The sequence below is a fragment of the Homo sapiens genome, chromosome 16 (assembly GCF_000001405.40).
Source record: "Homo sapiens chromosome 16, GRCh38.p14 Primary Assembly".
In the NCBI taxonomy this organism is placed as follows: Eukaryota; Metazoa; Chordata; class Mammalia; order Primates; family Hominidae; genus Homo; species Homo sapiens.
The window spans coordinates 72052655-72077352 of NC_000016.10; the positions used below are offsets into that span (position 1 = coordinate 72052655).

A 24698-nucleotide genomic window follows, 5' to 3' on the forward strand; every position below is an offset into this window, starting at 1 on the left:
ATTGACATTTTCCAATGGTGTTGAGTGACTTTTTTTTTTTTTTTTTTGACGACGTCTCGCTCTGTTGCCCAGGCTGGAGTGCAGTGGTGCGATCTCAGCTCACTGCAAACTCTGCCTCCCAGGTTCAAGCAATTCTCCTGTCTCAGCCTCCCAAGTAGTAGCTGGGACTGCAGATGCATGCCACCACGCCTGACTAATTTTTGCATTTTTAGAAAATATGGGGTTTCACCATATTCGTATTGGTTAGACTGGTCTCAAACTTCCGGCCTCAGGTGATCCACCCACCTCGGCCTCCCAAGGTGCTGGGATTACAGGTGTGAGTCACTCCCCAGCCTTGAGTATCTTTTATGTGCTTTTTGGCACTTTATGTATATTTTTTGGAGAAATGTCTATTTAAATCCTTTGCCCATGCTTTAATTGTTTGTCTTTTTGTTGTTGTAGTTAGGATATGCTCTGGATAACAACCCTTTATCAGATATAGAATTTGCAAATATTTTCTCCCATTCTGTAGACTGTCTTCACTTTTTTTTTTGAGACAGAGTCTTGTTCTGTCACCCAGGCTGGAGTGCAGTGGTGCGATCTAGGCTCACTGCAACCTCTGCCTCCCAGGTTCAAGCAATTCTCCTGCCTCAGCCTCCGAGTAGCTGGGATTAAAGCATGCGCCACCATGCCTGGCTAATTTTTGTATTTTTAGTAGAGATGGAATTTCACCACATTGGTCAGGCTGGTCTCAAACTCCTGACCTCATGATCCGCCCACCTCAGCCTCCCGAAGTGCTGGGATTACAGGCGTGAGCCACCACGCCTGGCCTGTCTTCATTTTATTAATACTGTCTTTTGATACACAAATGTTCATTCCGATGAAGCCCAATTTATCTAATTTTTCTTTGATTGCTGGTGATTTTGGTGTCATTATCTAAGAATCCATTGCCAAGTTTTACTTGGTTTTGATCTCTAGAAGACTGCCATCATACTGAAGGTAATCTTCTGAAACTTGCGGTTTTCTTTCAAAAATTATGTTTATAAGATGATCCATGTTCTTGCAGAGTTTATTCATTTTATGCTGTATAATATTCCATTATATCCACATACAATGCAGTATTGACCCTTCCTCCTGTTGATGGGCATTTGTCTTGTTTCTAGTTACTTTGCTATTATATCAGTGTCACCATGATTATCCAAAAGTAATTCTTTTGTACACTCTAATTTAAGAACAACTAACCCTTTTTAATGAATAAATCAACCTTGTATTGAGTTGCTACTAAGTTTCAGTTGACTAGTACCTGGGATACACACAGGTGCAGACATTTGACTGAGACATATTGATTTTTCTCATCTGCCTATTTAGGCTAATCACCAGACTATAAAACCATGAGAACCACTGCCATTGAGTATAGTCTGTGTCAGTCTACACTATAGCTTTAACTAGTTGTGTGATTTCTTGCAAAGAGCAATCAGAGAAGACACAATAAACACATTTACTGATTTCAGGCTGGAGAGCTTTTAAGCAATAGGGAGATGGCCACACACAAGGTGGAGAAAATTACTGTGAAAAGGAAGTACTTTCTTTAGAGCCCCACCTAAGCTAGGCTGCAGAAATGTCTACAATGGGTTTGAAAAAACTCAAAATGAGCCTTTCTGCAGTGTGAAAATCCTCCAAGATAAAGAGACAGATTGATGGTTCCTGCCGCCGCCCTGTCCTGCCCAGTTGCTGATTTCAGGAAATACTTTGGCAGGTTTGTGGGTCATAGAGTTGCCAGGTTTCTTGGGATTTGTAATAGAACATCACAAGAAAATCAAGTGTGAAGCAAGAGCTCAACTCTTAACAGGGGTATTGTTTGTGGTTTTGTTACTGGAAAAGATAGTGACCTTACCAGGGCCAAAGTTTGTAGACACAGGAATTACGAAATGGAGAAGGGGGAGAAGTGAGCTAGTGGCAGCATAAAAAGACCAGCAGATGCCCCACAGCACTGCTCTTCCAGAGGCAAGACCAACCAAGATGAGGTGGGTCCACAGCTTTCCCTCCTGCCTTTCCTCTGGTTCTTTATTTCAGTCTTTTTTGCATACATCGGTAGAGATGCAGAAATAGAACAAAGAAACGGGCAAATGGGCTAAATTATAGTGAACCAAAGGGCTTAGTGTGTTAAATCTTCTCCTTTTCTGCATCCATAGAAGACAGTGCTGCTGTCTTTCCCAGGAGATAAGATTTACTCTCAGGAGTGTCTTTTTCCTTCAGGTTACATTTTTGACTTTATAGGGTATGTCATCAGCTCCCGTGGTAGGCTTCCTGGCATCCTGAGTATATTTATTAGCAGATATTTTCCTCTTTAAAAATGTACAATAAGGAAGACTAATAGTAACACATTTGAATGACACAATTAATTGACTAGTACCTGGGATACACACTAATACCTGGGATACATCTAATTAAGGCACTTAGATCTTATAAAAATAAACACTTTTTGAAATGTTGAAATAATAAGACTAGAAACTTTTTTTTTTTTTGAGATGGAGTCTCGCTTTGTCACCAGGCTGCAGTGCAGTGGCATGATCTCGGCTCACTGCAACCTCCACCTCCCAGGTTCAAGTGATTCTCCTGCCTCAGCCTCCCAGGTAGCTGGGACTACAGGCGTGCGCCACTATGCCCACCTAATTTTTGTATTTTTAGTAGAGACGGGCTTTCACCATGTTGGCCAGGATGACCTCGATCTCTTGACCTCGTGATCTGCCTGCCTTGGCCTCCCAAAGTGCTGGGATTACAGGCATGAGCCACCGTGTCTGGCCTAGAAACTATTTTAATAGAAGCAAGTAGTGCCCGAATGGTTGGCATTTGTTAGTGAGATGGTGAACTGGCAGACGGCACCTGTGGGTCAATGCCCATGGCCACCGTCCTGCTTTTGGACACCAGTTCTCTTCCAGGTAACCTTCTGGCATTTTGGGGTTTCAGATACCATTTCCTAAAGGTGAATTATTATAAAATACTAGAAATACCCACGTGTTTAAAATTATATATTTAAGGAACCTTTTATTACGGAAAATATCAAGAAGTAGAGGAATAGCACAGTAAGCCCAAAGTTCCCATCTCTGAGTTATCTACATTTTATTACCACTATCTTTGCGGTGTCTGAGGGAGGTTTCTCTTTCCTGGAGGGCTCCTGTATTATTGCCAATGTACTTTCCTGAATGCAGCCAGAAACTGAGCCCACCCCTCCACCTATGTGCCTTTCTATCCCTCTCTGAAGCTTCTGCAGAATTCCCAGCAGGACAGGGCTTGCTGGAAGCTTGGTATGCTCAGAAGCTGCTAAAGTGTGTATGGGCAGGTGTGGGGGCAATTTCTTGGTCCTAGCACTTCCATATATCGACTTTCTTTTCTGGCTGCTAAGTGGGAGGAGTGTGTGTGTATGCATGTGTGTGTGTGTGTGTGTACATGCATGTGTGTGTGGATGCATGCATGTGCTGTGAAGCAGGGAGACTAGCTTTCCACTCCTCCTTGTCTTCTCTCTGCAGTGCCCTGGGAGCTGTCATTGCCCTCCTGCTCTGGGGACAGCTTTTTGCAGTGGACTCAGGCAATGATGTCACGGATATCGCAGGTCAGTCTTTGGTTGGGTAGGAGTGTGCATCCCACTCTGACCCTCTCGGGTCTGCACTCTCTCTGAGAACACCCAATTCCCCCTTCTTATCTCGACCTCTGGGCTTTCAGGACCATAAAGAACATTGGGGTTCCTGCCAGAAATGAGGGGAGCTTGCCTTTCCATTGGCTTCTATTCGGGGTGGAAGGAGATTGATGTGCAGAGCAGCTCCCGCTCATCTGACTTTTCACGGTTCACTGGGAACAATTTCCAAATAGCAAACTCTCTGGCTTCTCTCTCTTTGCAGATGACGGCTGCCCGAAGCCCCCCGAGATTGCACATGGCTATGTGGAGCACTCGGTTCGCTACCAGTGTAAGAACTACTACAAACTGCGCACAGAAGGAGATGGTAAGATGTGGACAACTGTCTCCATGCCCTACATACAACCCCCTTCTCTGACATTTCCATGATGGGTGGTGCTGAGGTGATTCGCCAGAAAGTTCGTTGCTCTCCTTGGAGCCAGGAGATTTAGATTCTAATAAGCGTTTTGTCGCCAGTAGCCATGGCCCTTTGGGCAGACTAACTTTTGTCAGCCTCAAGTTTTCTGTTTTGTTAAGGGGAGGCGATGCCATGCAGCCTACCTCATGTAAATCTCAGAGTCACATTTACATCTCCAGCAGATGTGGGAAAAGAAGGAATGCTGATGATGATGTCACCCTCACCTAGTGAGTCTTGCTGTCCTGGCACTGCTCTAAGGGCTTTATACTTATTTGCTCACTTAGTCCTCACAGTATCCCTCTGAACAGAGTTTATTGTTTTCACTTTGCTGATAAGGAAACTGAGGCACAGACAGGTTGAGTATCTTGCCCAAATTCAGGCAGCCTGTAAGAGGCAGAGTCAGGATTTGAACCCTGAGCCCTCCCTGTACTGCTTGGCTGTGACCGCCATGACCACAGTGTGTTCTGCTGGGCTTAACTGGTGTCCAGGCACTTGGCTTCCAGCACAGCACTCTTTCCCTTCCTCCTTCTCATATTCTCTCTCCTTTCTCCCTTCCTGTCTGCCTCCTTTCTTCTTCTTCTTTTTAATTCTTCTCCTTAAATGCCTTCTCACTCTGCTCTGGGTGCAGACTTGACTTTTCCTTTGGCTCATTTCTTGCCTTTTGTTTCAGGAGTATACACCTTAAATGATAAGAAGCAGTGGATAAATAAGGCTGTTGGAGATAAACTTCCTGAATGTGAAGCAGGTGGGTGCTGAGCACTGAGCACTTAAGAGAGCAGGCAGGCGTCCAGCGGGGAACGTCCTAGAGGCACAGCCTTCCAGTGCGGCTTCCTCTGAGCACACAAGAGCCAGGAGGAGGGATGTGGGAGAACCGCAGCTGGCCAGGGAGAGACTTAAGCAGTTAGGTGATGACTCCCTAAGGGTCACCAAGGGTCTTGTTCATTGGGGCCTGAAGGGCACTGGCTGAATCCACTGTCGGCACTGCCCACAGATCAGGAGAGCCTGTGCATACAGAGAGCCTGCTAGAAAGCCCTGGGTCTAAGGAGAAGCAAGCTCCAGGGAGAACAAGTCAAGGAATGACATAAAATCTTAATCCATGGAAGCCTAGCAGGAGGCTGGACATGGGCTGGAACTCCTGCTTCTCGTTATTAGGAGGAGCTGTTGCTCTCTCCTTTCATTCTCAGAACCAGAGGCAAAGACCCAGCCTCTTCTGCTCTTACTGGTGTGGAAATGCCAACCTGCCTCGTATTAACTGCACCATCTACAAAATCTGAGCTCCAGCCAGTGCTGCTCTAGATTCATCTTTCTTTAGAGAGAATGAATTATTGTAGCCCCTAGCCCTTTCAATGAATTTCAGGGAATTGTGGAAATTCCTTTATTGGGATAATTGTTTAAAAATAATACAGTTCGCGAGCTTCTATTCGGGGTGGAAGGAGATTGATGTGCAGAGCAGCTCCCGCTCATCTGACTTTTCACGGTTCACTGGGAACAATTTCCAAATAGCAAACTCTCTGGCTTCTCTCTCTTTGCAGATGACGGCTGCCCGAAGCCCCCCGAGATTGCACATGGCTATGTGGAGCACTCGGTTCGCTACCAGTGTAAGAACTACTACAAACTGCGCACAGAAGGAGATGGTAAGATGTGGACAACTGTCTCCATGCCCTACATACAACCCCCTTCTCTGACATTTCCATGATGGGTGGTGCTGAGGTGATTCGCCAGAAAGTTCGTTGCTCTCCTTGGAGCCAGGAGATTTAGATTCTAATAAGCGTTTTGTCGCCAGTAGCCATGGCCCTTTGGGCAGACTAACTTTTGTCAGCCTCAAGTTTTCTGTTTTGTTAAGGGGAGGCGATGCCATGCAGCCTACCTCATGTAAATCTCAGAGTCACATTTACATCTCCAGCAGATGTGGGAAAAGAAGGAATGCTGATGATGATGTCACCCTCACCTAGTGAGTCTTGCTGTCCTGGCACTGCTCTAAGGGCTTTATACTTATTTGCTCACTTAGTCCTCACAGTATCCCTCTGAACAGAGTTTATTGTTTTCACTTTGCTGATAAGGAAACTGAGGCACAGACAGGTTGAGTATCTTGCCCAAATTCAGGCAGCCTGTAAGAGGCAGAGTCAGGATTTGAACCCTGAGCCCTCCCTGTACTGCTTGGCTGTGACCGCCATGACCACAGTGTGTTCTGCTGGGCTTAACTGGCATCCAGGCACTTGGCTTCCAGCACAGCACTCTTTCCCTTCCTCCTTCTCATATACTCTCTCCTTTTCCCCTTCCTTTTTGTCCCCTTTTCCTCTTCCTTTTAGTTCTTCTCTTTAAATGCCTTCTCACTCTGCACGGGGTCTAGACTTGACTTCTCCTTTGGCTCACTTCTTGCCTTTTGTTTCAGGAGTGTACACCTTAAACAATGAGAAGCAGTGGATAAATAAGGCTGTTGGAGATAAACTTCCTGAATGTGAAGCAGGTGGGTGCTGAGCACTTAAGAGAGCAGGCAGGCGTCCAGCGGGGAACGTCCTAGAGGCACAGCCTTCCAGTGCGGCTTCCTCTGAGCACACAAGAGCCAGGAGGAGGGATGTGGGAGAACCGCAGCTGGCCAGGGAGAGACTTAAGCAGTTAGGTGATGACTCCCTAAGGGTCACCAAGGGTCTTGTTCATTAGGGCCTGAAGGGCACTGGCTGAATCCATTGTCTACATCGCCCACAGATTAGGAGAGCCTGTGCATACAGAGAGCCTGCTAGAGAGCCCTGGGTCTAAGGAGAAGCAAGCTCCAGGGAGAACAAGTCAAGGAATGACATAAAATCTTAATCCATGGAAGCCTAGCAGGAGGCTGGACATGGGCTGGAACTCCTGCTTCTCGTTATTAGGAGGAGCTGTTGCTCTCTCCTTTCATTCTCAGAACAAGAGGCAAAGGCCCAGCCTCTTCTGCTCTTACTGGTGTGGAAATGCCAACCTGCCTCGTATTAACTGCACCATCTACAAAATCTGAGCTCCAGCCAGTGCTGCTCTAGATTCATCTTTCTTTAGAGAGAATGAATTATTGTAGCCCCTAGCCCTTTCAATGAATTTCAGGGAATTGTGGAAATTCCTTTATTGGGATAATTGTTTAAATATAATACAGTTCACCAGCCAGGGCTCAAAAATCTCAGTATTTCCCACTTCCTTTGTTAGAAAAGTGGGAAATAGAGCTTTTTGTAATGTAAACAATTTAAAAAACAGAATTATTTTAAAACTGCAACTATTGGAAATGAGATCAGCAGGTGGTAAGGGCAAAGCATTTAAATCTTTCTACTTTACGCAGCAGTGACAGCCGCCCATGCTTTCACCCCTTTCTCAGATGGAAAGGCTCTTGCACATTTCCACTCACGAGTGTCTTGCTCTCCTTGACAGTATGTGGGAAGCCCAAGAATCCGGCAAACCCAGTGCAGCGGATCCTGGGTGGACACCTGGATGCCAAAGGCAGCTTTCCCTGGCAGGCTAAGATGGTTTCCCACCATAATCTCACCACAGGTGCCACGCTGATCAATGAACAATGGCTGCTGACCACGGCTAAAAATCTCTTCCTGAACCATTCAGAAAATGCAACAGCGAAAGACATTGCCCCTACTTTAACACTCTATGTGGGGAAAAAGCAGCTTGTAGAGATTGAGAAGGTTGTTCTACACCCTAACTACTCCCAGGTAGATATTGGGCTCATCAAACTCAAACAGAAGGTGTCTGTTAATGAGAGAGTGATGCCCATCTGCCTACCTTCAAAGGATTATGCAGAAGTAGGGCGTGTGGGTTATGTTTCTGGCTGGGGGCGAAATGCCAATTTTAAATTTACTGACCATCTGAAGTATGTCATGCTGCCTGTGGCTGACCAAGACCAATGCATAAGGCATTATGAAGGCAGCACAGTCCCCGAAAAGAAGACACCGAAGAGCCCTGTAGGGGTGCAGCCCATACTGAATGAACACACCTTCTGTGCTGGCATGTCTAAGTACCAAGAAGACACCTGCTATGGCGATGCGGGCAGTGCCTTTGCCGTTCACGACCTGGAGGAGGACACCTGGTATGCGACTGGGATCTTAAGCTTTGATAAGAGCTGTGCTGTGGCTGAGTATGGTGTGTATGTGAAGGTGACTTCCATCCAGGACTGGGTTCAGAAGACCATAGCTGAGAACTAATGCAAGGCTGGCCGGAAGCCCTTGCCTGAAAGCAAGATTTCAGCCTGGAAGAGGGCAAAGTGGACGGGAGTGGACAGGAGTGGATGCGATAAGATGTGGTTTGAAGCTGATGGGTGCCAGCCCTGCATTGCTGAGTCAATCAATAAAGAGCTTTCTTTTGACCCATTTCTGTGTTGTGTTCAGTCTTGAGTCTTTTTTATTTGCTCCTTTATGGTCCAGGGTAGTCAGAAGGTATAGAGTCTACTGGGAGTATGGCAGAAAACACCCTAAACCCACTGGAAATCCCGAAGGTGATACAAACTCTTCCACCTTAGGGAATCATGCTCACTGATTGAGTGCCTATTGAATGCTAGGTCCCAGAAAGTTAACTGTTGTCCTTGTTTTACAGACAAGGAAACAGAGACTCAGAGATGGTAAGTGAGTTGCTTAAGGTTACATAGCTATGAAACAGGGAAGCAGAACTTTGAACCCAGGTCTGTTTGATACAAACTCAGAGGTCCTTTCACTGCATGCTGTTGCCTCCTCAAAGTGAATTAGGAGAAAAGGCATGGGCCTGGTTGAGGAAGAGGCTAGCTCAAAATGGGATGGGGAAAAAGTGTTTTAACACAGACAGTACTTCAGAGTTTGGGATCTAACCTACCAGCACTCCAGAAAACAAAAGACAATGATGTAAAGGCAGGATCTCTGGACTTACTGAGTCCAAATCACAGAATGGCCCATAAATTTGCTAAGTAATTTAGGTTTCCTGGCCATCAGTTCCTGGTCTCTTCCATGAAGGACTTGAGCCAGGCGATGGCTAATGTCCCTATCAGCAATAACCTTCTGGTATTCCATAAAGAGTGGGGAGGTAGAGTCCCTGCATCAGTAGAAGCTGCTTTTCCTACTGGGAACAAACCCACCCTGCACCAGGAATCAAATGCAGGCTGTCTGAGCCTCCTCTCCTGATGGCAGGTCATGCTATTAAGGGTCTCCCAGAAGAAAGGTTCTGGAACTCTGAGAAACAGAAGCTCTTCTAACAGAACTTTTTCTTGCTATAAGCTTTCAATACCACCAATCACCAGTGCACCTTCTTCTCATGCCAAAATACGGCCCCTCCTTTGTAGGGTGTAAAACGACACTGATGTCACTCTCTCTCACCAAGGTCTGGCCATCTCTGTGAAGCTCTCCTCACAGGCACCCTGCAGATTCATCAATAAACTTCAACAGGTTAGCGCCAGTAGGCCAATAAGATGCACACTTATATTCTAGAACCTGTGAAAGAAGTAATAGCCAGAAACTGGAAAATAACAGTCAAACTCTTAAAAAAATGCCTCTCAGAACACAGTCACTTACACCTTTTCCTCTGGTAGTTCTCTTCAGCACCAAGTTTCCTGGAAGAACAAGCTACTCCCCAGTTTTCTTAAAGAATTGTCTGATTGTATTAAGTAAGTGGCTTCTGGTAAAATAATGGTAAGAGAAAAGCTCTGGCATTCTCTTGATCACTCATCTTCTCTGCCTTCCTCCCTAGCAACATCTCCTGGCCTCAGCCTGTGGGCTTCAGCAACACCAAACTCCATGTTGCTCTCTGACAAGCCCGGCCGTCTCCAGTTCTTGGGCTTTATTTCCTCGGGGGCCCTCTGCTGAAATTCCCTTCCCCTTGCTGTATTAGCACCTCCTACCCGCCTTCAACATGCAGGCACTGCCTCCTCTAAGGAGCCATCTGTACTTACGTAGCTGTGAGCATAGGATGGGGCATACAGCAGGCACTTAACAAATACTTGTGGAATGGAAAGAAACTAAGATAGGATCAAAAATACAAATCAAGATGTGAGAGAAAGACGATCAAAAGCCCTCACGAGGGGGCTGGGCGTGATGGCTCACACCTGTAATCTCAACACTTTGGGAGGCTAAGGCGGGTGGATCACTTGAGGGTGGGAGTTTGAGATCAGCCAGAGCAACATGGAGAAACCTCGTCTCTACTAAAAATACAAAAAATTAGCCAGGCATGGTGATATATGCCTGTAATCCCAGCTACTCGGGAGGCTGAGGCAGGAGAATTGCTTGAACCTCGGAGGTAGAAGTTGTGGTGAGCTGAGATCATGCCATTGTACTCCAGCCTGGGCAACAGGAGTGAAACTCTGTCTCAAAAAAAACAAAAAACAAAAAAGAACACCACGGGAAAATCAAGTGTGAAGCAAGAGCTCAACTCTTAACAGGGGCAATGTTTGGAGTTTTGTTACTGGAAAAGATAGAGACCTTACCAGGTCCAAAGTTTGTAGACACAGGAATTACGAAATGGAGAAGGGGGAGAAGTGAGCTAGTGGCAGCATAAAAAGACCAGCAGATGCCCCACAGCACTGCTCTTCCAGAGGCAAGACCAACCAAGATGAGGTGGGTCCACAGCTTTCCCTCCTGCCTTTCCTCTGGTTCTTTATTTCAGTCTTTTTTGCATACATTGGTACAGATGCAGAAATAGAACAAAGAAACAGGGCAAATGGGCTAAATTATAGTGAACCAAAGGGCTTAGTGTGTTAAATCTTCTCCTTTTCTGCATCCATAGAAGACAGTGCTGCTGTCTTTCCCAGGAGATAAGATTTACTCTCAGGAGTGTCTTTTTCCTTGAGGTTACGTTTTTGTCTTTGTAGGGTATGTCATCAGCTCCCGTGGTAGGCTTCCTGGCATTCGGAATATATTTACTAGCAGATATTTTCCTCTTTAAAAATGTATAATAAGAAAGACTAATAGTAACACATTTGAATGACACAATTAATTGACTAGTACTTGGGATACACACTAGTACCTGGGATACATCTAATTAAGACACTTAGATCTTAAAAAATAAAAAGACTTTTTGAAATGTTGAAATAATAAGACTAGAAACTTTTTTTTTTGTGAGACAGAGTCTCACTCTGTCACCAGGATGGAGTGAGTGGCGCGATCTCAGCTCATCGCAACCTCCCCCTCCCCGGTTCAAGCAATTCTCCTGCCTCAGCCTCCCAAGTAGCTAGGACTACAGGCGTGTGCCACCACGCCCAGCTAATTTTTGTATTTTTAGTAGCGATGTGGTTCACCATGTTGGCCCGGATGATCTCGATCTCTTGACCTCGTGATCCACCTGTCTCGGCCTCCCAAAGTGTTGGGATTACAGGTGTGAGCCACCGCACCCTGCCTAGAAACTATTTTAATAGAAGCAAATAGTGCCTGAATGGTGGGCGTCTGTTAGCGAGATGGTGAACTGGCAGATGGCGCCTGTGTGTCAATGCCCATGGCCACCGTCCTGCTTTCAGACACCAGTTCTCTTCCAGGTAACCTTCTGGCATTTTGGGGTTTGAGATACCATTTCCTAAAGGTGAATTATCACAAAATACTAGAAATAACCACATAAGTGTTTAAAATTATTGTTAAATACAGTAAGAAATTCTTCTTCAAAAGTTTAGCCTGCTTAAGTTTCCTTGTCCTTTGTTTCCTGCTTTCAAGGCCAGACTTCCTTACTCTCTGTGTTTCCCCTACCCTGGTAAACAACCTTCCTGCCAGTCCTTACCCATACAGCCCACATTCCACATCTGCTACCCACTCTGTGATTTACCTCTCCCGTCGCAATAGCCTCTCCCACCAAAACTGATCTTCCCGCCTTCCCACCAGTGCAACCACATTCCTGCACTTTGCAAGTTAGCCAACCGGGTTCGGATTGTGCAGTCCAACTCCAGCCAATGGAGTCAGGACACAGTAGCAGGGACAAGCTGCGTTAGACATAAAAACCTCTGCTTTCCTTTGTTTAGGGTGCTCTCGTGGCAACCAGACTTACCAGGAGCTCTATTCTGCAAAAGTAAATTTGCCTTGCTGAGAGACCCTTTGTCCTTTGGCTCAGTGTTGGTTCTTCTTTGCAGCACCGAGCATTTGTTTCCAACAAATTTGGTGGCCCATACAGGGAAAACATTGTCCTCCGGGAAAGGGTCTTTGATCACCTCTTGTGAGGAGACACATCCCACTGCCTTGTTGCAGTGGCCTCATGAGTAAGGAATCGAGACCCACCTGGTCTGATGAATAACCCCAGACTCTCAACAACGTGGGGAGAAAAAGACTTGCAACACTATGGTGGCCAGGTAACTCTGTGCGCAGACCAAGGTAAGAAATGTCGCAGGAGTGACAAAGTACTTCCTTGGTGGTCACTATATTCTGGTGGCTGAAAGTTCATGAATGGTAACAAGTGCTACTGCTGTGTGGAGTGAATGAGTCCAATCTGTGGGTCTATGGTTACCTCATACGGCTTAGCCTTCTCTGAAGGATCCTGATGTTGGGGTTTATATAGTCCTCCCAATGCTAAGCGGGACTTAAAATATTCCTAGGAGGAAAGTGGCCAGAGTGGATGAAGCAAAAGGAGAAGAGTGTGAAGAACCTCCAGGAGGTGGGGCTAAAAGATAGGCAAGAAATCTCTAATACGAGGGATTGAGCCACAGAAAGCTCCAGACAGATAAAAAAGAAATTCCTAATATGAGGAACTGAGCCACAGCAAGCCTCCAGCAGGCAACAAATCCCTAATATGAGGGATTGAGCCTAGCTAAGACCCAATATGGGAAATACCCCAAGAAAGACAGAGAATAAGAAGGATGAAAATAGTAACAAGGATATACCCCTTGATAGTCCCCTAGGTTTCATGTTAAAATACTGGAAAGATAATGAGAGGACTAAGCATAAGAAGAAGGAGCAAATGATAAAATATTGCTGTTTCATTTGGACCCAAGGTCCCATCCTCAAACCCTCAATCTTCTGGCCAAAGTATGGGTCGAATGAGGGTGTAATGAGTCAACTCCTAATCCAATATGTTAATGATAAAAGTCTGGTTTCTCAAGAAGAACTAGACTATGCTCTTTGTTGGAAGCAGGGACCTGTCCTCCTCTTTCCCTTAAAGACAACTAGGGAAGAATCCGATCCAGCATCTCAAATTGAGAAGTCAGACAAGCCGACTCCCACACCTAAAGTCAGCACATGGGATCCCCTAGACTGTCTTCCTTTGCTTACTGCCCCAATCCTAACCCCCCTACTCCTCAGGCAGCTGCTGCTGCCCCAGATCCCATCCCAGATTCTTCCCCAACTCATGATGTTCCTCCCGCTTACAACCCTGACTCTCAGGGGCAGTCGTCCCAAGAGCCTGTTCATTGCCAACCTAAATATCCTTCCTTAAAAGGGCTCCAACATGAAATAGAGCAGTGTAAAAAGGACATTCAGAACTCCCCTTTTCTTTCCACACCTAAGGAGTCAGCCATAACTTTCTTCCCTTTAAAAGGGGTATCACAAGGAGGGGAAGTCATTGGTTTTGTAAATGCTCTCTTGACTATTTCAGAAGTCTGAGGTCTGAAGAAAGAACTTAAGCCACTGCTAGATGACCCCTATGGAGTGGCAGATCAAGTTGATCAATTCTTAGGACCTCAGTTATACACTTGGGTCGAGCAAATGTCTATCCTAGGCATCTTCTTTTCAGGGGAGGAAAGAAGCATGATCCGTAGGGCTGCTATGGCAATTTGGGAACATGAACACCCTCCTGGTCAAAACGTTCCTACTGTGGACCAAACATTTGCTGCCCAAGCAAGACTCCTGGTGGGACAACAGCAATGCAGCCCACTGAGAAAACATGCAGGACCTAAGGGAAATAATAATAAAAGGAATCAGTGAATCCATACCCAGAACTCAAAAGCTCTCTAAAGCATTTGATATACAACAGGAGAAAGATGAGGGACCTATAAGATTCCTAGACAGACTAAAGGAGCAAATGAAGCAATATACAGGTCTGAATTTAGAAGATCCCCTTGGGCAAAGGATGTTAAAGATCCATTTTGTCACTAAAGGCTGGCCAGATGTTTCAAAAAAGTTACAAAAATTGGAGGACTGAGAAAACCGACCTCTAAGAGAACTTCTCAGAGAAGCTCAAAAGGTGTATGTGAGGAGGGACAGGGAAAAACAAAAACAGAAGTCAAAACCAATGTTATCTACTTTCCAGCAGGTGGCTCCAAACCCATATGCTACTAAATGAGGCTTCCAGGGAGCCAGAAACTATAAAAGGTCCCAAGCCTCCCAAACCCAGTTTAGAGAAACCAAACCTTCAGCTAGAGGACCCAAGTCTACATTTCCCAGGCCCCCTAAAGAGCATAGAAAAGCAAGACCAAAAAATCCCAAAACTGAGAGAGGGGAAGGACAAGATAAGTGTTACAAATGTGGAAGGACAGCCCCCTTCAAAAGAGAATGTCCCAAATTAGAAAAGGAGAGAGAAGCCCTTCCACTCACGACCTTTGAAGAGGAACAGGGAAGTCAGGGGCTCTGTCTATATTATCTTGAGTCCCACCAGGAGCCCTTGATAAATTTGGAGGTGGGACCTACACATGAGCTTATCACATTTTTGGTTGATTCAGGAGCGGCCTGTTCCTCTGTTTGTTTCCCCTCATCTAATGTTGCCTGCTCTTCAGAAGAACTTATAGTCTCTGAGATAAAAGGGGAAGGATTTACGGTGAGAATCTTAGAAAATACAGAAGTCAAGTACCAAGACTAAACAACCCAGGTTCAATTTTTGTTAATCCCTGAAGCAGCAACTAGTTTGTTAGGAAGAGACTTAATGTTAAAGTTAGGCATAGGCCTACAAGTCAGCCCAAAGGGATTCCTTACTTCATTAAACTTACTCACCACGGCGGATGAGAAATACATTCATCCTGATGTTTGGTCAAGGGAAGAAAACTGAGGAAAGCTTCGAATTCTCCCAATCCACATCAAGCTAAACACCCCGCACTGGGAAGTAGTGAGGAGGAAGCAATTCCCCATTCCCTTAGAGGGCATGCTAGGGCTAAAACCTATAATTGAAAGTCTCATTAATGATGGGCTTCTTGAACCCTGTATGTCTCCTTATAACACCCCAATACTGCCTGTCAAAAAATCAGATGGGTCATACCGGCTGGTGAAAGACCTCAGAGCCATTAACCAAACAGTCCAGACCACTAACCCTGTTGTCCCCAACCCTTACACCATTCTCAGCAAAATTCCATATAATCATCAATGGTTTACTGTAATAGATTTAAAGGATGCTTTTTGGGCATGTCCCTGGCTGAAGAGAGCCGAGACACATTTGCCTTTGAGTGGGAAGATCCCCAGTTAGGGTGAAAACAATGGTATCAATGGACAGTCTTGCCTCAGGGGTTCATGGATTCACCCAACCTTTTTGGTCAAATTTTAGAACAAGTGCTAGACAAAGTTTCTGTTCCAAAACAATTATGCCTGCTTCAATATGTCGATGATATTCTCATATCTGGTGAGGATATAGAGAAAGAAGCTGGCTTCTCTACACATATTTTTGACCATCTACAGTTCGAGGGGTTACGGGTCTCAAAGGGAAAGCTTCAGTGTATGGAGCCTAAAGTTAAATATTTAGGCCGCTTAATAAGTGCGGGCAAGCGAAGGATAGGGCCTGAATGGGTCGAAGGAATCGTGTCCTTACCCTTGCCTCAGACTAAACAGGAACTCAGGAAATTTTTAGGGTTAGTTGGATACTGCCGCTTAAGGATTAACTCACATGCCCTAAACAGTAAACTTTTATACCAAAAACTTGCCCAGGGAAAACCTGAGCATCTCCTGTGGACTTCTAAAGAGGTCGATCAGGTCAAAGAGCTAAAAGGAATAGCTTATAACTGCTCTTGCCCTAGCCTTACCTTCCCTAGAAAATACACTTCACCTTTTCGTCAGCGTGAAAAATGGGGTGGCTTTAGGGGTGCTTATCCAAGAGCACAGAGGCTGCTGGCAGCCCATGGCCTTCCTGTCAAAAATTTTGGACCTGGTCACCTGTGGATGGCCTCAGTGCATCCAATCCATTGCAGCTACAGCAGTATTAGTTGAAGAGAGTAGAAAATTAACCTTTGGGTGGAGATTAACAGTAAGCACACCCCACCAAGTTAGAGAGCTATTTTAAATAAAAAAGCAGGAAGGTGACTAACTGACTCCAGAATCTTAAAATATGGGGCTATTCTACTAAAAAAAGATGAGAGAACACCTATGTCTAGATTTAATTGACTACCAAACAAAACTCAGGCCAGATCTAGGAAAGATCCCTTTCAAAACAGGACGGCACTTATTTATAGATGGTTCCTCCCAGCTGATTGAGGGAAAAAGACACAACGGGTATCCAGTAATCGATGGAGAAATTCTCTATGTATAAGAACAGAGTCAAGAAAATTGCCTAATAATTGGTCTGCCCAAACTTGTGAACTGTTTGCACTCAGCCAAGCCTTAAAGCACTTGCAAAACCAGGAAGGAACCATCTATACTGATTCTAAGTATGCCTTTGGAGTGGCTCATACATTTGGAAAAAGTTGGACTGAATGTGGCCTCACTAATAGTAAAGGTCATGACCTTGTTCATAAGGAGTTAATCATCCAAGTACTGGATAACCTTCAGTTGCCAGAAGAAATAGCTATTGTCCGTGTACCCGGGCACCAGAAAAGCCTTTCTTTTGAAAGTCGAGGAAATAACCTAACAAACCAGATAGCCAAACAAGCTGCTGTTTCCTCCGAAACACCTATGTTTCACTTAACTCCTTGTCTTCCTTCCCCTACTGCAATTTCCTTTTTCTCTTCCATTGAAAAAGAAGAATAAAGATAGGAGCCAAAGGAGAAGACCAGAATGAAAACGGCTGTTACTAGACCAAAAGGAAATGTTATCCAAGCCCGTTATGTGGAAGATCTAGTCTCAACTATATCTGAGGACACACTGGGGATCCCAAGCCATGTGCGATGCAGTTCTCAGGGTCTATGGATGTATAAGAATTTACACCCTAGCCAAACAAGTTACAGATAGTTGCTTAATATGTAAAAAGACTAGTAAGCAGATTCTAAGAAAACCGCCCCTTGGAGAAAGAGATTCAGGGCTAAGACCATTTCCAAGTGTTCAATTAATTATACTGAAATGCCCCCAATTGGTCATTTAAAATACTTATTAGTAATAATAGACCACTTTACCTACTGGGTAGAGACTATCCCACACTCAAATGCAACCACCAGTAACGTAGTTAAGGCATTAATTGAAAACATTGTACCCAGATTTGGACTAATACAAAGCACTGATTCAGACAATGGAACCCATTTCACTGCATATGTCATTAAAAAGTTAGCCCAGGTACTAGACATAAAATGGAAAAACCATATCCCTTGGCATCTCTCCTCCTCAAGAAGAGTAGAAAGGATGAATCAGACTCTAAAAAGCCACTTAACTAAATTAGTTCTAGAAACTTGATTGCCATGGACTAAATGTCTTCCTATTGCCTTGTTAAGAATCCGAACTGCTCCTCAGAGAGATACTGGCCTTTCCCCTTATGAGATGCTCTATGGATTGCCCTATTTATACTCCACTGCTAACATTCCTACATTCAAAATAAAAGATCAGTTCCTCAAAAATTATATACTTGGTCCATACTCTACTTTCTCTTCCCTTAAGACTAAAGGTCTCCTAGCACAGGCGCCACCGCTGGAGTTTCCAGCACATTAGCGTCAGCCTGGAGACCATGTCCTCATAAAAGGGTGGAAGGAAGGCAAACTCAAACCAGCTTGGGAAGGACCCTACTTGGTGCTCCTAAATACTAAGACTGCAGTCCGAACAGCAGAATGAGGATGGACTGATCACACCCGCGTCAAAAAGGCGCTGCCACCTCCAGGATCATAAACCGTCACTCCAGGGCTCACCCCAACCAAATTAACTCTAAAAAGGGCTTAATAATCACTTGTTTATTTTTTCTTTTCTTTCCAACAGAAGGTCATCTTGTCATCAATGTAACTTGGGCTAACCATCCTTTAATCCTTCAGTTTGATGCTTGTTCAGTCATCCTGTGTGGAGACAAGCAAGCTCAAAGGAAGCTGTCTCATGTAGATAAGTACCTATGTCCATACCATAAAAAGTCAACCAAGTATAAGTATAGAACCTTAAAAAGTCCCTGTGGTGACTGGACAGATGTTTGGAAACCACTCAGTATGGAGGGTGGACAGCCAGGCCCCCTTTTTCAAATAAGTTATGGGGACTAAAACAGAAACTCCAACTAATTCATGGTCCCACCCCACCAAACTGTAAGCCACTGCAGTGTAACCCCTCATTGCTAATTATAGCTAACCCCCAAACAATGGCCCAAGAACCCACTATATTCAAACAGTATGGATTAGGAGCAAATGTTACAAAACAAAATCCCATAAAAATCTTCAACCACTGGTTAACAATGATAATTAAAAAAAAATCCACACCCAGAGTCTGGGAAACGAGTGGAATCTAACACTCTCTCCAAGTATAGCGAGCTCAGCGTCCTCCTCCCATCTCCAAAACAACCCAACTAAAGTAACGGTTGTAAAGGTAAAAAATTTAAAGCAGACTATAGCCCTAGAGACAGGATGTCAAGATGCAAATGCTTGGCTAAAATGGATTAAATATTCCATCTGCACTTTAAACAAATATGAATGTTATGCTTGTGCTCACGGTAGACCAGAGGCCCAGATTGTCCCCTTTCCACTCAGATGGTCTTCTAACTGACCGGGCATAAGCTGTATGGTAGTTCTCTTCCAAGATCACACAGCCTGGGGTGACAAATCATGTCAAGCTCTTTCTCTGCTGTTCCCTGAAGCTCAACACCCTGAGGGTCAGCCCCCGAGGGCCATCAGCTTCCGTTTCCCAATGCCAATTTTACTTTGTGTCTCTCACAACAGGGAGAAAACTTGGTGTTCCTTGGAGCCTTAATGGGATGCAGTGAGCTTAAGTCCTTCCAAGAGCTTACCCATCAGTCTGCCCTTAGTCATCCTCGAGCGGATGTATGGTGGTATTGTGGTGGACCATTACTGGACACTGCCGAGTAACTGGAGCAGAACATGCACTCTAATTCCATTGGCTATCCCTTTCACCCTGGCATTTCATCAACCAGAAAAGACAGAAACCAAACACTGTAAAACAAGAGAGGCCCCTCATGGGTCTGTTGACTCCCACATTTATATAGATTCCACTGGAGTCCAACGAGGAGTGCCAGATGAATTTAAGGCCCAAAATCAGACAACTGCAGGATTTGAATCCACGTTCTTCTGGTGGTTAACTATAAATAAAAATGTGAATTAGATAAACTACATTTATTACAACCAATGATGATTTTTTTTTTTTTGACGGAGTTTTGCTCTTGTTGCCCAGGCTGGAATGCAATGGCATGATCTCGGCTCACCACAACTTCTGCCTCCTGGGTCCAAGCAATTCTTCTGCCTCGGCCTCCCGAGTAGCTGGGATTATAAACATGTGCCACCACGCCTGGCTAATTTTGTATTTTTAGTAGAGACAGGGTTTCTCCATGATGGTCAGGCTGGTCTCAAACTCCCGACCTCAGGTTATCTGCCTGCCTCGGCCTCCCAAAGTGCTGGGATTACAGGCATCAGCCACTGTGCCCAGCCTATGATTTGTTAATTATACTAGAGATGCTCTTAAAGGGACAGCTGAACAATTAAGACCCACCAGTCAAATGGCCTGGGAAAATAAAATAGCATTAGACATGATACCAGCGAAAGAGGGTGGAGATTGTGTCATTATCGGAACCCGATGCTATACTTTTATCCCTAATAATACTACTCCAGGTGGGATCACACCAAAAGCACTACAAGGTCTTACTGCCTTATCAAATGAGCTAGCCAAAAATTCTGGACTAAACGACCCCTTCACAAATTTAATGGGAAATTCTTTGGCAAATGGAAGGGATTTATGTCCTCAATCCTCATGTCTCTTGCCATCAGAATAGGGTTGCTTATTCTTGTAGGATGCTGTGTCATACCCTGTGCCCTAGGATTAATACAAAAGCTCATTGAAACAGCTCTCCCCAAAACCTCCCTCAATCCTCCTCCTCCTCGTTCCAGTGAGCTTTTTCTTTTAGAAGACCCAAGTAGAATAACAGAGCCAAATTATGTTAAAAGGGTTTAAAGAAAAAATACTGTAAAATATTTAACAGGGGGATTGTTAAATACAGTAAGAAATTCTTCTTCAAAGGTTCAGCTTGCTTAAGTTTCCTTGTTCTTTGCTCCCTGCTTTCAAGGCCAGACTTCCTTACTCTCTGTGTTCTCCCTGCGCTGGTAAACAACCTTCCCGCCAGTCGTTATCTATAGAGCCCACATTCCACATCTGCTACCCACTCTGTGAATTACCCCTCCCATCACAATGGCTTCTCCCGGCAAAACTGATCTTCCTGCCTTCCCAGCAGTGTAATCACATTCCTGCACTTTTCAAGTTAGCCAACCGGGTTCAGCTTAGATTGTACGGTCCAACTCTAGCCAATGGAGTCAGGATACAGTAGCAGGGACAAGCTGCGTTAGACATAAAAACCTCTGCTTTCCTTTGTTCGGGGTGCTCTCGTGGCAACCGAACCTATGAGGAGCAACCTTATGCAAAAGTAAATTTGCCTTGCTGAGAGACCCTTTGTCCTTTGTCTCAGTGCTAGTTCTTCTTTGCAGCACCAAGCATTTGTTTTCAACAATTATATATTTAAGGAATCTTTGATTATGGAAAATTTCAAGAAGTAGAGGGAATAGCATACTAAGCCCTCTGTTCCCATCTTTGAGTTATCTACATTTTATTAGAAGTATCTTTGGGGTGACTGAGGGAGGTTTCTCTTTCCTGGAGGGCTTCTGAATTATTGCCAATGTACCTTCCTGACTGCAGCCAGAAACTGAGGCCCCTATACCTATGTACCTTTCTATCCCTCTCTGAAGCTTCTGCAGAATTCCCAGCAAGACAGAGCTTGCTGGAAGCTTGGTATGCTCAGAAGCAGCTAAAGCGTGTATGTGGGGCGGAGGGTGGGGGCAACTTCTTGGTCCTAGCACTTCCATATATTGATTTTCTTTTCTGGCTGCTTAGTGGGAGGAGTGTGTGTGTATGCATGTGTGTGTGTGCGTGTGTGTGTGTGTGTACATGCCTGTGTGTGTGGATGCATGCATGTGCTGTGAAGCAGGGAGACCAGCTTTCCGCTCCTTCTTGTTTTCTCTCTGCAGTGACCTGGGAGCTGTCATTTCCCTCCTGCTCTGGGGACGACAGCTTTTTGCACTGTACTCAGGCAATGATGTCACGGATATTTCAGGTCAGTCTTTGAGTTGGGTAGGAGCATGCATCCCTGGCACTGCCACATCCCACTCTGACTCTCTCGGGTCTGCATTCTTTCTTTGAGAACACACAGTTCCCCATTCTTATCCTGACCTCTGGGCTTTCAGGACTGCCAAGAACATTGGGGATCCTGCCAGAAATGAGGGGAGCTTGAGCTTTCGTTGGCTTCTATTTGGGGTAGAAGGAGATTGATGTGCAGAGCAGCTTCCACTCATCTGACTTTTCATGGGTCTCTGGGAACAATTTCCAAATGGTAAACTCTCTGGCTTCTCTCTCTTTGCAGATGACCGCTTCCCGAAGCCCCCTGAGATTGCAAATGGCTATGTGGAGCACTTGTTTCGCTACCAGTGTAAGAACTACTACAGACTGCGCACAGAAGGAGATGGTAAGACCTGGACAACTATCTCTGTGCTCTACCTACAACCCCTGCTCTGACATTTCCATGATGGGTGGTGCTGAGGTGATTTGCCAGAAAGTTCGTTGCTCTCCTTGGAGCCAGGAGATTTAGATTCTGATAAGCGTTTTGTCGCCAGTAGCCATGGCCCTTTGGGCAGACTAACTTTTGTCAGCCTCAGGTTTTCTGTTTTGTTAAGGGGAGGTGATGCCATGCAGCCTACCTCATGTAAATCTCAGAGTCAGATTTACATCTCCAGCAGATGTGGGAAAAGAAGGAATGCTGATGATGATGTCACCCTCACCTAGTGAGTCTTGCTGTCCTGGCACTGCTCTAAGGGCTTTATATTTATTTGCTCACTTAGTCCTTACAGTTTCCCACTGAATAGAGGTTATTATTCTCACTTTGCTGATAAGGAAACAGAGGCACCGACAGGTTGAGTATCTTGCCCAAATTCAGGTGGCCTGTAAGAGGCAGAGTCAGGATTTGAACCCTGAGCCCTCCCTGTACTGCCTGGCTGTGACCGCCATCACCACAGTGTGTTCTGCTGGGCTTAACTGGTGTCCAGGCACTTGGCTTCCAGCACAGCACTCTTTCCCTTCCTCCTTCTCGTATTCTCTCTCCTTTCTCCCTTCCTGTCTGCCTCCTTTCTTCTTCTTCTTTTTAATTCTTCTCCTTAAATGCCTTCTCACTCTGCTCTGGGTGCAGACTTGACTTTTCCTTTGGCTCATTTCTTGCCTTTTGTTTCAGGAGTATACACCTTAAATGATAAGAAGCAGTGGATAAATAAGGCTGTTGGAGATAAACTTCCTGAATGTGAAGCAGGTGGGTGCTGAGCACTGAGCACTTAAGAGAGCAGGCAGGCGTCCAGCGGGGAACGTCCTAGAGGCACAGCCTTCCAGTGCGGCTTCCTCTGAGCACACAAGAGCCAGGAGGAGGGATGTGGGAGAACCGCAGCTGGCCAGGGAGAGACTTAAGCAGTTAGGTGATGACTCCCTAAGGATCACCAGGGTCTTGTTCATTGGGGCCTGAAGGGCACTGGCTGAATCCACTGTCGGCATTGCCCACAGATCAGGAGAGCCTGTGCATACAGAGAGCCTGCTAGAGAGCCCTGGGTCTAAGGAGAAGCAAGCTCCAGGGAGAACAAGTCAAGGGATAACATAAAATCTTAATCCATGGAAGCCTAGCAGGAGGCTGGACATGGGCTGGAACTCCTGCTTCTCGTTATTAGGAGGAACTGTTGCTCTCTCCTTTCCGTCTCAGAACCAGAGGCAAAGGCCCAGCCTCTTCTGCTGTGAGTGGTGTGGAACTACCAACCTGCCTCGTATTAACTGCAACATCTATAAAGTATGAGCTCCAGCCAATGCTGCTCTAGATTCCTCTTTCTTCAGAGATGATGAATTATTGTAGCTCCTAGCCCTTTCTTTTTTCTTTCTTTCTTTTTTTTTTTTTTTGAGACAGAGTTTTGCTCTCGTCGCCTAGGCTGGAGTGCAGTGGTGCTAATTCCTGACCTCAGGTGATCCAACTGCCTCAGCCTCCCAAAGTGCTGGGATTACAGGCGTGAGCCACCGCATCTGGCCCCTAGCCCTTTCAATGAATTTCAGGGAATTGTGAAAATTCCTTTGTTGAGATAATTGTTTAAATATAATATAGTTCACCAGCCAGGCCTCAAAAAACTCAGTATTTCTCATTTCCTTATTTAGAAATAGAGCTTTTTGTAATGTAAACAATTAAAAAAATTATTTTAAAACTGCAACTATTGGAAATGAGATCAGCAGGTGGTAAGGACAAAGCATTTAAATCTTTCCAGTTTATGCAGCAGTGACAGCCGCCAATGCTTTCACCCCTTTCTCAGATGGAAAGGCTCTTGCACATTTCCACTCACGAGTGTCTTGCTCTCCTTGACAGTATGTGGGAAGCCCAAGAATCCGGCAAACCCAGTGCAGCGGATCCTGGGTGGACACCTGGATGCCAAAGGCAGCTTTCCCTGGCAGGCTAAGATGGTTTCCCACCATAATCTCACCACAGGGGCCACGCTGATCAATGAACAATGGCTGCTGACCACGGCTAAAAATCTCTTCCTGAACCATTCAGAAAATGCAACAGCGAAAGACATTGCCCCTACTTTAACACTCTATGTGGGGAAAAAGCAGCTTGTAGAGATTGAGAAGGTGGTTCTACACCCTAACTACCACCAGGTAGATATTGGGCTCATCAAACTCAAACAGAAGGTGCTTGTTAATGAGAGAGTGATGCCCATCTGCCTACCTTCAAAGAATTATGCAGAAGTAGGGCGTGTGGGTTACGTGTCTGGCTGGGGACAAAGTGACAACTTTAAACTTACTGACCATCTGAAGTATGTCATGCTGCCTGTGGCTGACCAATACGATTGCATAACGCATTATGAAGGCAGCACATGCCCCAAATGGAAGGCACCGAAGAGCCCTGTAGGGGTGCAGCCCATACTGAACGAACACACCTTCTGTGTCGGCATGTCTAAGTACCAGGAAGACACCTGCTATGGCGATGCGGGCAGTGCCTTTGCCGTTCACGACCTGGAGGAGGACACCTGGTACGCGGCTGGGATCCTAAGCTTTGATAAGAGCTGTGCTGTGGCTGAGTATGGTGTGTATGTGAAGGTGACTTCCATCCAGCACTGGGTTCAGAAGACCATAGCTGAGAACTAATGCAAGGCTGGCCGGAAGCCCTTGCCTGAAAGCAAGATTTCAGCCTGGAAGAGGGCAAAGTGGACGGGAGTGGACAGGAGTGGATGCGATAAGATGTGGTTTGAAGCTGATGGGTGCCAGCCCTGCATTGCTGAGTCAATCAATAAAGAGCTTTCTTTTGACCCATTTCTGTGTTGTGTTCAGTCTTGAGTCTTTTTTATTTGCTCCTTTATGGTCCAGGGTAGTCAGAAGGTATAGAGTCTACTGGGAGTATGGCAGAAAACACCCTAAA

General features: G+C 45.4%; 2 protein-coding genes across 6 annotated transcripts; both read left to right on the forward strand.

The window, feature by feature from the left end:
• Window positions 1851-8401, forward strand: HP (haptoglobin). 3 transcript variants are annotated; one of them, NM_005143.5, is made up of 7 exons: window positions 1851-2003; window positions 3507-3589; window positions 3876-3977; window positions 4738-4812; window positions 5600-5701; window positions 6460-6534; window positions 7458-8401. In NM_005143.5, exons 1-7 carry the CDS (start codon window positions 1999-2001, stop codon window positions 8234-8236), a joined length of 1221 nt encoding a protein of 406 aa, NP_005134.1. In that variant the 5' UTR covers window positions 1851-1998; the 3' UTR covers window positions 8237-8401. The 3 variants fall into 3 exon arrangements, with proteins under 3 accessions (NP_005134.1, NP_001305067.1, NP_001119574.1); NM_001318138.2 differs by lacking the exons at window positions 5600-5701; window positions 6460-6534; NM_001126102.3 differs by lacking the exons at window positions 4738-4812; window positions 5600-5701.
• HPR (haptoglobin-related protein) lies at window positions 10572-24592 on the forward strand. 3 transcript variants are annotated; one of them, NM_001384360.1, is made up of 6 exons: window positions 10572-10606; window positions 12103-12340; window positions 21238-21323; window positions 21630-21731; window positions 22491-22565; window positions 23649-24591. In NM_001384360.1, the coding sequence occupies exon 6, from the start codon at window positions 23741-23743 to the stop codon at window positions 24425-24427; it is 687 nt and encodes a 228-aa protein (NP_001371289.1). In that variant the 5' UTR covers window positions 10572-10606; window positions 12103-12340; window positions 21238-21323; window positions 21630-21731; window positions 22491-22565; window positions 23649-23740; the 3' UTR covers window positions 24428-24591. The 3 variants fall into 3 exon arrangements, with proteins under 3 accessions (NP_001371289.1, NP_066275.3, XP_024306019.1); NM_020995.4 differs by lacking the exon at window positions 12103-12340 and having other exon boundaries at window positions 23649-24592; XM_024450251.2 differs by lacking the exons at window positions 10572-10606; window positions 12103-12340 and adding an exon at window positions 20594-20639 and having other exon boundaries at window positions 23649-24592.

Excerpts from the sequence above, each read along its gene's own strand:
- HP (NM_005143.5), top strand. Across the intron at positions 3,978-4,737 it reads ACTGCGCACAGAAGGAGATG|GAGTATACACCTTAAATGAT; the intron begins GTAAGATGTGGA and ends CTTTTGTTTCAG. Across the intron at positions 5,702-6,459 it reads ACTGCGCACAGAAGGAGATG|GAGTGTACACCTTAAACAAT; the intron begins GTAAGATGTGGA and ends CTTTTGTTTCAG.
- HPR (XM_024450251.2), top strand. The coding sequence starts at position 20,617 with ATGAGGAGCAACCTTATGCAAAA. Across the intron at positions 20,640-21,237 it reads AGGAGCAACCTTATGCAAAA|TGACCTGGGAGCTGTCATTT; the intron begins GTAAATTTGCCT and ends TTCTCTCTGCAG. Across the intron at positions 22,566-23,648 it reads ACTTCCTGAATGTGAAGCAG|TATGTGGGAAGCCCAAGAAT; the intron begins GTGGGTGCTGAG and ends TCTCCTTGACAG.